The 14,948-nt window shown below is 34.9% G+C and overlaps 1 protein-coding gene across 15 annotated transcripts in view; it reads right to left on the reverse strand.

Moving 5' to 3' along the window:
- The window catches only part of MED23 (mediator complex subunit 23), a 54,348-nt gene that overhangs the window by 17,807 nt on the left and 21,593 nt on the right, over positions 1–14,948 (reverse strand). For 9 of the 15 annotated variants that reach the window (NM_001270521.2, NM_015979.4, XM_011536257.4 and 6 more), the window contains 13 exons: positions 14,707–14,852; positions 13,468–13,713; positions 12,406–12,548; positions 11,258–11,432; positions 10,446–10,609; positions 8,266–8,390; positions 6,784–6,989; positions 6,515–6,695; positions 4,746–4,916; positions 4,175–4,391; positions 2,327–2,563; positions 1,234–1,399; positions 616–688 (listed from right to left, as the gene is read on the reverse strand). In NM_001270521.2, the coding sequence (NP_001257450.1) occupies positions 616–688; positions 1,234–1,399; positions 2,327–2,563; positions 4,175–4,391; positions 4,746–4,916; positions 6,515–6,695; positions 6,784–6,989; positions 8,266–8,390; positions 10,446–10,609; positions 11,258–11,432; positions 12,406–12,548; positions 13,468–13,713; positions 14,707–14,852 (2,250 nt within the window). Of the gene's footprint in view, positions 1–615; positions 689–1,233; positions 1,400–2,326; positions 2,564–4,174; positions 4,392–4,745; positions 4,917–6,514; positions 6,696–6,783; positions 6,990–7,694; positions 7,739–8,265; positions 8,391–10,445; positions 10,610–11,257; positions 11,433–12,405; positions 12,549–13,467; positions 13,714–14,706; positions 14,853–14,948 lie in introns of those variants that run through there. The other 6 variants (NM_001376521.1, NM_001376519.1, NM_001376522.1 and 3 more) reach the window with 5 other exon arrangements.

Genomic DNA, 14,948 nt, shown 5'->3' on the forward strand with positions numbered 1-14,948 from the left:
GTAAATCAATTAATTTATCAAACAATAAATCTATAGCTTTATTACTTATTTAAAAATAATAAACTTTAAAAAAATATGTGTGGAGGTCAGAGAAAGGAGTCTTCATGTGAGCTGGAAAAGTCAGGGAAGGCTTCATTCACTGAGAAAGGAGGCTCTAAGCTAGCAAAGAATGAATAGGCTTTAGAGAAGGTGATGGAAAGAAGAAGCTTCTGGAATAAGAAAAATGTCTTATTCCCTCACATTCAGAAGTACCTAAAACATGTCTTAAGCACTATCTGAAGGAACAAAGGCTGTAGATATACAACACGTTAAGTGGCCAAGAGTAGATCAAGCTATTATGTAAAAACTAAAGTTGGATAGGTAAGGTGGTACCAGAAAATGCAGAGACCCGTAAGTCACATAGATATATTTAGATCTAATACAGAAAAGCAAAAACTAGTCACTGTAGATTTTTAAAGCAGTAATAATATGAAAAAACTTTAAAAACATAAAATACTTCATTAATTTGCATGACGTCCCGTACAAGGGCATCCTATATGCATCTTTTTCTTTTTGCTGACATGGAACAGCTGGCTGTATTTCATCACTAAGTACAAATCACAATTATTAACTCACTGGTAGGGCAGTGATGATCAAACCAATTGCATTCATCCATGCTGTAATGTTCTCTCTTGGCACTAAAGGCTGACTGCAACCGGCAAAAAAGAATGTAAGTATGAATTTATAAAAACATTTTAGATGGCTGACAACGGATCTTATTTTTAAAGAATATGTCTAATTCAGAGGATCGACAACTAATCCATTTCAATAAAACAATGGGGAATTTTTTATTGAATAAAAATGTAATATGCATAAAAACTCAAGAAGGCTTTTTAAAAATACTTCCTCCCCAATCATTATCCCATACTTCATGCTAATTTTTAAAAGAATCTTGAAATCTTGAAAACAAGATGAAGAGAATCTTGTTTTAAGTGACAAGTTAACATTATTCCTATATTAAATGTCAAACTGCTATTAATGAGTAGAAGTAGGAACAAACCCGGATCTTAGGATCCTGTCCAGGGCTCATTCCATAACTCCTATATCACAAAGACAAGATCTGGAACCAGAAAACAGTCATCATCCAATGTGCATCAGCCTTGCGGCAACAGGTTTGTCTTAAAAGTTTGAAATAGAATACCATTCTATTTACAAATAAACAACAAATCTTACTGCATGAACCAGAATACATACCTTTTTAGGACAACATTTAGAAGGGCATTCCCAACTTCTTTGCCTGAAACTGCCAAGGCCATGAGCTCCACACAAGTAACATGGAGAGCATGGGCAGCTGGGTTGGGAAACTCATTGAATCTCCAGTCACAGTTTGGAAAGGGACCAGGAGATTTGCCAGCCATCGGTGCACACAGTTAAAGCAATAACAATTGGACTATCTCATCTGATTGTCAATTTATCTGATTATGAGCTGCCAAGAAGTGATTTGTCTACGCTTAGAGAGATTAAGAGGCAAATGCAAACCAAATACAAATGAGTTTGACATGATTGAAATGTATTAAAAGCAACCATTTGATTAACCACAGGTATAAATGGTTGGTCTTTCAGGTGGGTTCTTATAAATATGACATATAATAGCCACAGATGCAACCAAGGTTTACCTAGGTTTCATGAGCCTATTTCTTTTAATAGTTATAAGACATTAATATGAAAATTATTTTCTAATGAGTCATTCTTTTGCTTCAGAAAATAAATTCCTTTGTGTAGGAAAATAAGTCATGCTCATTTATGTAGAATTTCTTACCTAGTAAAATAGTGGTATGGTTATAGACATTAAGTATAGAGTGCTAATAACTGAAAATATAAAATCAAAATGAAGAAATAAACATCCAAGTATATTTTCACTAAAATATACCTTTTCAATAAAGAAAAATATATTTTATCATTTATTATTTACTACAAACATTAATTTTTTTAAAGTAACAAGATCCTACGTTCTCCAGTAGCACACAGATGCATGTGCTACAAAATATAGTATGTAAGAATAAGATTTTTTCTTTGAAACAAATCTCCATAAAGTCTATTTTTAAATATAATTTTTTTACCGCTTATCCTCAAGTTCTAAAATAAAAATTTTAACAGAATTTCAGCCTAATTGGCATGATGCTGTTAATTTAAGATTTCAAATCTTTACAGAGATGAAAATGGAAGTGATCTTAAAAAAAATTAAAACCTTGAAATACATAAAAAATTACTTTAAAAGAAAAAATATATTCTCATAAATCAAAATACTGTTATTTCTGGGAGTCTAAAATCACAATAAAAAGGATATTATCGACTAGTCTGCCAATCAATCTGCAATAGTAGGTGTCATCTGGAACCCAAGGATTTTCCTCTCGTGCATTCATAGCGCATTTCAGGTAAGTGTCACTTAGACACCAGCCCTGCGGTCGATTATCCTTCAGAGAGCCAATGATCGCATGGACGAGTTTTCGTTTGAGAAATGCGCGGTCTCTCAGGTGCATTTCATAATAGTGCAGAGTGTTATACAGATAAGTCACTGGACGATCTGCCAAGAAAAAAACATACCACCACAATGTTTAACTGGTTACTAATAACTGTGAAAAACTGATCAACTGCTTTCCAGATAACTGAAAAACAGCTCAGAAGATTTATGAAACAACTTCACATGCTGGGCAATTGTATACTATGAATATTTTAATCTGAGGAGAGGCAGAAGGCTCAGAATGTTTCTAGTAATATACAGTTTGTATTTATATTTGTTTTTATTTAAGTGGAAGCAATTCCATTTCTGAAAATTTATCCTGCATAAATTTTAATCCCTTGACATACAACAAGGGATGTCATTGCAGCCCTGTTTATACTAGCGAAAGATGAAAAACAGCCTAAAAGGTCAAAAACAGGGGACTGATAAAGTAAATCTGGCATGTATGAGGCAGCTCTTTACGTACTAATACAAATGACCAACCCTAATACATGATAAAGTTGAAACAAACAGGGTACAGAACACTTGTGTTAAAACAAACAAACAAACAAACAAACAAACAAACAAAACCAGCCAGGATATCTAAGAGGGGATGGCAAGAGACTGGTAACACTGGCTGCCTACGAAAGAAACTGGGTAGCTGGAGGCCAGGATGGGACTAATTACCTTTCACTGTATACTCCACCCCATCAAGTATGTATATTACCTAATCCAAAAGAAAAATGTTTTTAAAAGAACGCTCACTTGAACTTTATGCCTATTCTACCATGTTAACACACAATTCATACTTCTGCTCTGAGGGAAGGTATCTTAAAGATGAAGCAGGACTGCCTGCCAGACAAACACTTTGTTCCCAGAGTGGCTGCTCCAGGACCTTCACATTTCTGTCACTGACCCTGCCACTCTCCAGTAACTATGCTTAAAATTTTAGTTGTCTTTTTCTTTCAATATTCTCCTTATAACCAGCCAATCAAGTCCTGTTCCTTCTTTTGTGACCATTTGTCCCTTTTCTCTCATTTTCAATGCAACCACTGTTGCTTAGATACTAATCACACAACTGAGCTTTTTGACATGTCCTTGTAATGGCTTCATCCTAAGACTGCTGCCAACTATAACTGGATGTATCTTTCTGAAATAATGTTTCCTATGCCATGATCATACTCAATAACTTCCAGTTGATTATTATCTGCAATTACAAAATCAGCCTAGCATTCAAGGTGATCTACAGTTAGGTACAATCTGTCTTTCCAATCTTATTTCTAGAACTCTCTGGTAAGAATTTTCAATTCAACCCAATGTAGCAATTTTTCTTCAAATATACTTTATCTCCTCCATGATTTCCCCCAAATGATCCCTTCTGCCTCGTGTGCTATATTTTCCCTGCTGCTGCTATAAATTGGATGCATCAAGTCCAAATCCTACCCATCCAAGAAGGCCGCCAAGATCTGTTTAGTTTACAGTAACATCACCCTGTTCTGAACTCATACTTTTGTTTATATTTTTATGTTGTATATTTTATACTTCATGGCACCATCCATAGTACTTATCCTCAAAACACTTCATTTTTAAAATATTTAAAATAAAACCTTTAGAGCCACTATTACCATGTGGTCCTGCCCATCCTACTTTTGATAATGGAGGTATTAGACGAAATTAAAATTGGAAAAAGCTCACCATGAAATTTATATAAGCCTCCTAGATGATCCAGTAGAGTCTCCAGTGATTTGGATACCGGAAGCAACTCTAAAAATCTGTGGATTACTATATCAAATACTGGAAGGAATCGAAGACACACATTCCCAAAATAGATGGGCAGATAGGGAGACTGGATCTGTACAGGAGGATCCACCTGTTCCGCGAGGCCCTCAAAATACAACTTCTCTGGATATTTCTGTGGAATTGAGAAGATGATAAATGGTTAGAGCATTTTTTAAAAAATTCTCTTAAAAGAGCTAAATGTGAAAACATTGTTTAGATTTTTTTTTGCAAGGAAACATTTAAAATTATACTTGATTATACTTTACTTCTTTTTATAGAAGTCCTTATGTCCACTAAAACTGCAGTTTCAATTTATTCTCAACATTATAGAAACTCTCAAACCTTGAAGAAGTTCAGAGAGCTAACTTACTTCTATATAGACAAGAGAAAAAACATTAGAACCAGAGAGAAAACGGCCAAATCACTTCATCAAATACTCAAGTATGGCTTTAAAAGGACTATTTGAAATACCAATTAGGACTAGTACCTTGTGATAATTCATGTGCTTGGTGTGCCAGTCATTCTGTAACCAGTGCTCTGGGGAATTTTCCTTCACAAAGTCACTTACTCGATTTCTAAAATCGTTTGGTTTGAGTAACAGCAACTGAATTATGAAATAACAAACCTGGGCTTCATTTCCTTCGTGACTACGCATGGCCTTTGAAAAACAACAGAAAAATTATATGAAAATGTTCAACCTGTGTAAAATCATGAGGGCCATCTGAAAGCCTAGATTTTAACAAAGTAAAATCTCACTATTATAATTTCCTTAGACGTCTAGTCTATCCCAAACCAACTGTTCAGTATTCCCCAAACATATATGACCTTTCTTGCCTATTTCTGGCTTACCATTCCTTCTGCCTGGGATGTCCATCTTTACTTTTAAAAATTTAATCTATCTTTCACAGCTATCACCTAAGCAGATAAGATTTCTCACTGTTTCCTAGAAATATTTTTTCTACACCTCCATCTTATCCTGACATCTTATTGATTTATAGACTTACATTATTCCCCCTAAAATATAATAACTACTTTTATATCTATGCTCCACAGCTAAGGGGTTAACGTTAAACTATGCCACTCCAAATGTCACCGCCATAGAATTTTTTTCAATGTAGCATTTTCCAGCCTACTTCAATATCTTTTTAAAGAAATCTACCCGAAGGCCAGGCGCGGTGGCTCACACTTGTAATCCCAGAACTTTCGGAGGCCGAGGCGGGCAGAACACGAGGTCAGGAGATTGAGCCCATCCTGGCTAACACGGTGAAACCCCATCTCTACTAAAAATACAAAAAATTAGCCGGGTGTGGTGGTGGGCACCTGTAGTCCCAGCTACTTGGGAGGCTGAGGCAGGATAATGGCGTGAACCCGGAAGGCAGAGCTTGCAGTGAGCCAACATCACGCCACTGCACTCCAGCCTGGGCGACAGAGAAAGACTCCATATCAAAAAAAAAAAAAAAAAAAAAAGAAAAAAAAAATTCTGCTGGAAATAGACATCAAAGTCAGGAGAAGAAAAAAACATTTGGGGAATGTTTGTTACCAAAGTGTACAGAAATGGTTATATTCGCACTCTGTAAAGAAACACAGTGACTTACTGCTACTTCCTCCCTCTAGTGGGAGTTTTGGAGAATCAACTCAGGGTCTAATTGCTCATATTTTCAAAGTATCACAAGGCTAGGACCACATCTATTTTATTTACTTCTGTACCTTCTATACATAGAACACAGTTGATATTCAATATGTACTTATTAAATGAATGAATAAGGAAATTGGGGCTGGAAGCAGTAGCTCACGCCTGTAATCCCAGCACTTTGGGAAGCTGAAGAGGGAGGATTGCTTCAGCCCAGGAGTTCGAGACCAGCCTGGGCAACATGGAGAAACCCCATCTCTATAAAAAAGTTAAAAAGAAAAAAAACTAGCTGGGTATGGTAGCATATGCCTGTACTCCCAGCTACTCAGGAGGCTGAGGCAGGAGGAGATTGCTTGAGACCAGGAGGTTGAGGCTGCAGTGAGCCATGATCACGCCACTGCACTGGGCGACAGAGCGAGACCCTGTCTCAAAAAACAAACAAAAAAACAAAAACAAACAAAAACAGAAATTGGAAAATTTCCGGCTCTTTAGGGAAGTGACAGCAATGCTTGATATAGTATAAATTCATTAAATCCTTCAAAGCAATATAGAGCAGATTGGCATAACATATATTAGTCATACATCTTGATCTAAGAGAATAAGCTTAGAAATGTATTTATTCTTACCAGGCAGAGAATTAATCTGTCCAGTGTAACAATGTTATACTTCCATACCATGTCATTAAGAATTTCAATGCATTTATTGAGTTGCTGACCCCCTGCTGATGTAGAAAACTCATATACCAGGAAATCTGCAAATGTCCTCACATGGGCTACCAAGGCCCTGGCTCCAATTCTCTCTAATACTCTGGAAGGCAGAGAGTAAAACATAAACTCCATTGTTGTATGGATACAACAATTTGCCAAATGGAATGCAAATTAGGTTTTTGACTTACCTATAGCCAATCTGATTAATATGATCTGTTTCCAAGAGCATTTTCCAGAGAAGACAAAGAAAGAGAGGAGGGGAGCCCTGCATAGAGAAGTGGGTAATAATGTCGTTTTCGTTGCTCATTGACTTCCACTTCCTATACTCCTCCTCCACATTTTTTTTCAGATTAAAACGGCTTTCCTGAGGCACATTATTTTGTTTGAAGAATGCCTAAAAAGAGGATTAGAAGTTTATTTCATTGGTTATAGTAGAAAGAGCACTGGATATGGAGTTAATAAACCAGTTCTAGACTTGATTCTGACACTAATAAACTCTAGGTCACCTTGAGCAACTCAGCAATTAAGGCCTGAATTTCTGTGTCTGGAAAATACATAAGCTTGACTAGATTATCTCCAAGATTCCTTTTCCTAGATTTCCTAAATGGAAATTCTAAGTAAGCCTGAATTCAAAGCTTCTTCAATCATCTGTTGATACTTCCGCCAATCTTAAAAAGAAAAAAAAGAATGAAGTGTCTCTACCCTTTGGCTACATATGTTAGTGTCTTTGAGGAAAATCCATTGCACTAGCCCAGTGATTCTCAGAGTGTGGTCCCAACACCAGCGGTATCAGCATCATCTGGGTCTTACAAGAAATGCAAAATTCTCAGACCTTATCCCAGATTTACTGAATCAGAAGCTCTGTGGCTGGGGGCCCAGCCAACTGCAGCTTAGCAAGCCCTCCAGGTGATTTGGTAAGTTTAAAAACCAAATGCTCTAGCCCTACCAGGAGTTATGAAAAATGGATGTTCATCATGCCTAACATTTTTTCTGAAAAGGAGAAGACAGATGAGGTTTGCCTTTCTCCTTATTAGAAAAGCCAGGTTTACAGTTTTTCTGTGATTAAGAAAAAAATTCAGTGAAGTGTCATATTACGCACACTCTGTGAAGCTCCATTACGTTATACTTCTCCCCATTTCAGTTCTATGAGAGAGAAAAAAGTTTTCAGGTACTATGTTAATTTTCATGAGATTCTAAAACCATTAACTATTTTTTTCTCTTTTTCAATTTTTTTCACTTTTATTTTTTTCCTCTTTCTACTCTTCCTCCCCTTAAAACTGTTAACTAAGATGAAACCATAATAATTAAATTTTTAGAAACATGTCCAGTACCAGAGTAGGACACAGAACAACTTGAGAGATTTTGTAAGTAATGACTTTTTTTTTTTTTTCTACAGACAGGGTCTGGCTCTGTCACCCAGGCTGTGGTACAGTGGTGTGACCATAGTTCCTTGTGAACCTGAATTCCTGGGCTCAAGCCATCCCCCTTGCCTCAGCCTCTCAAGCAGTTAAGACTAGAGGCTTGTGCCACCATGCCCAGCCCCTAAATATTTTTTAAAATAAATAAAAGCTAATTTTATTCAGAAGTCACCAAGACTCACTCTAGAACACCATTGTGAATGGGAAGAAGGATTTCATGTGCATTCAATAAGTAATTCAAGACCAAATTACCTGTAGTGGGCCTGGAAAACAGCTCAGGGTGTGTGAAGCCCAATTATGAGGAGTGAAACTCATGATGGTCTGAAGTATGTCTTTACACCAAGTTCCCTGAATTGAATCAGAGCCTGTAAAAAAATCTAAACATAAACAAATAGATGTAATCCAGATATAAATGATTATATCCACAATTCATAAAAGATTATAGCGAAAATAATAATTATGTACACTGAGAATTTCACTGCAGTGCATTCACTGCTTAACTAGTTATATTCAGCTTAGAACCTAAATTTGCTTAGTTTATGAATGATCTGGATGATCACATTAGAAAATATGAGAACAGTTTATGAAAAGATGACAAAAGACATTTGAAATCTCTTTTTTTGAGGTTACAGAGTACCAGCGATAACAGTAATACAAGCCCATCACTACTGTTCATTTACTTTGACACTGATTTAGTAGTACTTTATTCGGCCAAGGGAACAGAATAAAGAAAGATATCTTTTTTGGTGAGTGAAATAATTACATAATGCATGTATAAATCTCAGAATTGAAGAGGGTTCTTTATGTAAAACAAAATAATTTACATAAACGTATTTGAGGTTGCTAAAACCAATAACTATCTCTTTAAAACATCAGTTCTCAAGTGTGGTCTGTAGACCTCTTGGGGATTCCCCAATAGCCCTTCAAAGATTCAATGAGGTCAAATAATAATAAAAAGATATCAGGCTTTTTCACTTGGTATGAGCACTGACGGTACAAAAGCAATGGTGGTAAAACTGCTGGTCCTAAGCACAAATCAAACAGTGGTGCCAGACTAGATGAAAAGGCTTTGTATTCTCCAGCACATGCACTCAGTGAAAGAAAAGTGCCAGTGTCAATCTCGACACCTATTTTTAACATCATATGTAACAAAAGGGGAAGCATATGCCTAGTGTTCCAAGTTTGATGGGTGTCTTGAGGAAAAACACTTGTGCACTTGTGTGACTGACTGAGCACTGAGTTAAATCAGCTGCTTTTTTTTTTTTGAATTCCAATTTTACTTGAAAGAACGTCTGACAGAAAACTATAGCTAGCTAGACTTACGTATTTAGCAGACATTTTCTTGAAAATTAACAAAATGAGCTTGTCACTTTAAGGAAAACAAATGATAGTAACTTTTTCCAATGATAAAATTTGACCTTTCAAGTAAAAATTGAAATTTTGGAAAACCTGTATCTACCACGACATGATAGCATTCCAAAACTTAGATTTTTCTAATAAACTTTGCAGTGATATTAACAAATGTAATTTTCTGATACTGTATAAACAAAATGTCAACGTTTGCTAGATCTACGTAACTCAGTGAACCAGTATTTTCAAAATGAATAATTCATGAAGTTACAAAACATGCATGGATTTAAAAATCCACTAAATGTATAAAACAGATGTACAGATTATAATGTAACAAAGTACATGAAGTTTACTGGGGGTTTTGGATTCCATATTGCAGCTAACCTTTAAGCAACTATCATTTTTCCATGTGATGTCAAAGAACATTCCCAATTATCTGAAAAAGCTATTAAAATACTCCTCTCTTTCCAACCTCATCTGTGTGAGGCCACATTTTTCACTTACTTCAACTAAAACTTCAATGGATTAAATGTCTAAGCAGATGAGAATCCAAACTATGTCTTCCTTTACACCAGATATTAGAGAAGCAAAAATGTCAAACAATGGCACCTCTTCTCACTAAAGTTTTGCTTTAGAAAATATACTTTTTTTATAACATCATATATTAACATGTAATGTTTATTATTGCTATTTAAAAACAAATTAATAAATATTTTTAAACTTCTTAATTTTAATATCTAATATAATAAATATCCATAGATATAATCCATATAAACAGAAACTCTTTGGGAATTTCAATTTTGTTTTTAAGAGTGTAAAGCAGTCCTGAGACCAAAAAGCTTAAAGTATTACTACTTTAAAATTATGGATAGCTGAAAACGATGCTCAACGCAGTTATTAATAGAATGATGGTACACAAAAGAGCTTCCATAAATGAGTGAAATAGTGAAGATATCAAAACAACAGGCTTTTTTCAAACAAATGAAAAGTATCTTTTTAGTATGTTACAACTATAGTAATTAGTAGAATCATGGCACACTTTAATTCATCTGTTGTTGTTTGTAGTCACATATTCACCGTACCTGTTACATGAGTTGCTCTAGCCAAGGTCAATATCAAGGCTCGGTTCAGTTCTTCAGATTCTGCTGAGAGCACTGTTTTGGGATCACTAAGGAAGCGTGTAAACTGCGGTTGTACCTCTGAGCTACCTAATGCTGTTATAAGCCTGAGAGCAGTGCTCTCGACACTGAAAATTGGGAGAATAAAAAGAAATGTAAAAAAATTTCAGAATTATGGAATTAAATCTAAGGTTAATTACAATGGAAAAACATGCAATCTATGACTATCCCTTCTTTAAAAAAACACTTTTGTGTGAGAATAAATGTTGCTTAATTTGTTTAAAAAACCTAATGTGTCCAATTTTATAGTGAAAATCGTGACTTTTTACACATTTGAAAAAGATGGCTTGTCGCCTATAGGACTAAAAAATTTCACCTGGAGATACTGCATTTCAAAAATTATATTTTTCTATCTAAAATATATTTTAATGTAAAGCAAAATCAATGTGACATGATACTTTAACCATAATCTGAAGTATACTTAAAACCAGCATTCTAAAGGGCTAAGTTACAACATAATAATAAATACCCTGGAAGTACTAATTCTCAGTCCAAAGATCCTGAAGGAAGGACTCAACTATCTTAATCAGTTTCTATTTAAAAAGCTGGACTCTGCTCCTATACTGGAAACAAAATACTTTAGAAGCAGAGAAGTTTTATGACAGATGAATAATAATAAAAAAAAAAACTATAAGGTAAAGGTAAAGGATTAAGAACCTCATCTCCAAGAAAGTTTCTAATAAATCTTAAGGAAAGATGGTCTTCAATGAGCTCACCAAAGATGGAGCTGGTTCTGGTTTGTTTGTGCAACTGCAGCCAAAGTATGAAGATGACTCAGGAGCTGAACTCTGTAATGAGGCTGAATATGATGCATCCGGTAGCTAAACATCTCAAGGAGTGTGTGTAAGATCCCCCATGCATGTGATTTGAAAACAGTTGGCAAAAGCTGACCTGGAGGAAAAAGACAATTTAAGGTACCAATTATTAAAGGCTATGCATGAAAAGATATTTGAAGAAAGTCACATTGAGTAAAATATAAAGATTTGATTGTGAAAATACACACGCCCACACACATATATATTCTCCATATTTTCTTATTTTCTACTTTAACAGTAAGGAAAAATTCAGATCCTAACTATAATATCAAGTTTGCTTTTTTCCTGGGATTTGGCAATTGATAATCATGTTTATCTGGAAAAATAAAATGAGACAAGATATGAAAAAACATTAATCTTCTCAATTCTGATATCTTTTATTTTTAGACAATTAATGTTCCATACCTTTTGAAGTATGAGGTTCACTTTTTAATACAAAAAATTGTATTATACCTGCCCTTGTTTCCTCCTACCCCCAAGAAAGTTTTGTTCAACAATCAGTTATCTAAGAAGAGTTATTGTGGTTAAAATTAAGACTATGCTGTATTCGTGAAAAGCTGGAATTACCATGAATCAGAAAAACACTTCTATATCAGAAAGTATCTATTATTTTAGAACTATATAATAAATGAGACATTATAATGTATCTTCTGCAAGGTAGGAAAATTCCTTCTTTATTTCCAGTCAGACTTCGTATGCACTGGAGGACAGCATTGCTGCCTCAGGCAGAATCCATTTGCATGAGGACAGGGACCAGGTCTATCCTGCTCACTGCATCCCAGGCACCTAGCACATTAACCTTTTCTTACCACTTTACTTAAAAATGCAACAAACCCCCCAACCCTCACACTTCCTATTCCTTTTTGCTTTATTTTTCTCTATAACATGTATCATCTGACATATTGTATATTTCATTTATTTAATGTCCTCCTCCATAAGCTCCATCATGGTGGTGACTTGTTCTCTGCTGTGTCCCCAGGACCTAGAAAAGTAACTTTAGAGTTAATGAATGGGTTAATAGTTATAAACACCAGAAAGTCCTGTCTTACTGATAAATCCTTTGATGCCCAAAGACTCTATTTCCATATAGACCAATAAACGACTGTAAGTTTCCACTAGGGCTGGAGCCAAGGCCACACTGGACTTTGCATGAGCAAGTTTTATCACCCTGGTTGCAATGCTGTGAATAAGGCTGAGGAGAAAAAAAGGGAAGAAAATAAAAATCCATATTTTTGACATAAACATAGGGGCTACTCTACTTAGAAGTAACTTAGTATAAATCTGAACTTAAATGATTCAAATGAAGTTGATTCATTTAATGTGTTTAAGCTGTGCAGGACACTTGGTAAGGATGCACTGCACAATCTGAGACTCATTCCGTTTCTGTGGCGCTTTCAATATGCATACGGATCCCCCTGCTCATGGAAAAACAAACTTTGGATTCAACTCATAAGAGCATGCTTGAGGGATTTTGGTCACTCAAATGATGCATCAAAATACATTTGGGAAATTAAATAACTTTTGTCACAGATTTACTTTAATAAATCACTGCTAAGACCCAAATGTTACGTTCTAATGGGGCTTTGCTCAAATCTGTTATATATGCAAGTGAAGCACATGTGTAATTCTATCACAATGGTTACCATTTGAAAAAGAGCATAGCTCTACCAGGACTGATGCTCCACTTGGAGGCCCACAGACAAATTCTCTTTGGCCTATACAGTGGTTGTTTCAAATTTGAGCCAATACTTAAAAGCTGAAAGACTACTAATAAAAAATCTGGATTTCTAGCCCTTTCCAAAAATGTTGGAAGCTCTAGCTACACTAGTCCTCATTCTTAACTATCTATAAAAAATGAAAAAAAATGTGCAAAAAATTTTTATAATGCTTATCTCTCATGTAGAGATTACAACAATTACTTTCTTTGGGTTTGTTTATCCTAGAATTCCTATAATAAAAAATATTTACTTTTGTAATAAAATAAAGCTAACTTTTTTTTCTCAAATGTACCTGACTATGAAATAATACGCACATAAAATCATGAAATAAAGGTTTATACTATACTCGTATCAATTCCCTGACATGGAACCAAATTAATAAAAAGAACATACCTCATTTTGGCATGAACTGTCAGTGAATCCAGGAGGTTCATAGGTAAGGGGGTAATAGATCCTGAAGCCATACAGTTTGTTCCAGGGAGAGGTATCCTCATAATTCCATTTCCATAAATAGTTTCTACCAGAGCTCCCATGGGTAATGTAAAACATTCTGAATTTGTAGAGTATGCATTACACAATAGAGCAATCTTATAGTCATTCATCTGTAAACTTTTATTTCTTAGACTCTGCTGCAGGAACCTAAATATTCACGTTCCATTAAAAAGAAAAAATGAAAATAACTTCCATAATGTTAATTTGTATTTTTTTAAAAGTTCAATTTTATGCAATTATTTATTAATGCTATCTTTGTTCCTATAGGTATTATAGTTTCTGTGTGAAATGTACAGTGGGAATACACATAGAAGTTTGAGTAGCATTTCAGAAGAAAAATAATTTTAAATAAACAATTAATGGGTACTGTTAAGTATGCACTACATATATGACCACCATATTAGGCTAAGTTTCAGAGAATGAAGAAATAACTCACAAGTCTATGAACCAGGTTTCTATTTATTATCTGTCTGTATAAACACAACAATGTCTTCATTACAGATACCACTATGAAAAGGTGGTTAAGGGCTGTCTCATAAAATGAAAACCAAATGAAGTATCAAGTCTGACAATCCTGCCATCTCCTGTGAAGAGAAGTGGCAGTCCTTCTCAGAAGTTCTAGGTGGGAAGTTAGGCTACTCCTAGCACCCTTGACTACAATACAATACTATCTAAGAATGGTATCTTCATTGAGTCATCACAACTTTGGAAGAGATATTAAGGGGCATGCCAGCCAGATCAGCTCAATCAATCCTGGCAGCCCAGAGATGAATGATATCTCAGTCAGCTTATGCTGAAGTTCCAAGCACTTGGGAAATTCTGAAACATTTTTACATTTATAAAAATTGATATGCTTTCATTATATTAATAACTTTAAAGTATAACATATACAACTGAAGATCAGCCTTAAAAATTAAAAAAAAAAATCTATACATATAAGCAAGACTAACCTTGTAGCTGTTTCCTGATATAGGTACTGGTCAGATTCTCCTGCTATGACATATACATCAAGTATTTGCCCTTACCTATAGTGGGTATGCGGAGATTTCCAAATTTCACACAAACACCGAGACCAATATTAGTCTACAATCCGCTATTAATTAAACAAGAAAATTAAGTATCAAGCAACAAATAACTTACTCATGGTGAAGTCTTAGGGAATGAGGTATTGGAATCTGTAGCTTGGAGTTGTCATTTTGAGCTTTTCTATTGAGATGAATCCAAATACAGGTCATTGCAAAGGCATGGGTTGACTGGGGTTTGTTAATATCAGGAACTGGGATATACTGAAAAATAACAATTTGAAAAATAACACAATAGAAGAAAGAGAAGAATTAAATAATTATGTGTATTTTAGTAATCAATTTCTAATATAACTCTTT

Source organism: Homo sapiens, chromosome 6 (assembly GCF_000001405.40).
Source record: "Homo sapiens chromosome 6, GRCh38.p14 Primary Assembly".
In the NCBI taxonomy this organism is placed as follows: Eukaryota; Metazoa; Chordata; class Mammalia; order Primates; family Hominidae; genus Homo; species Homo sapiens.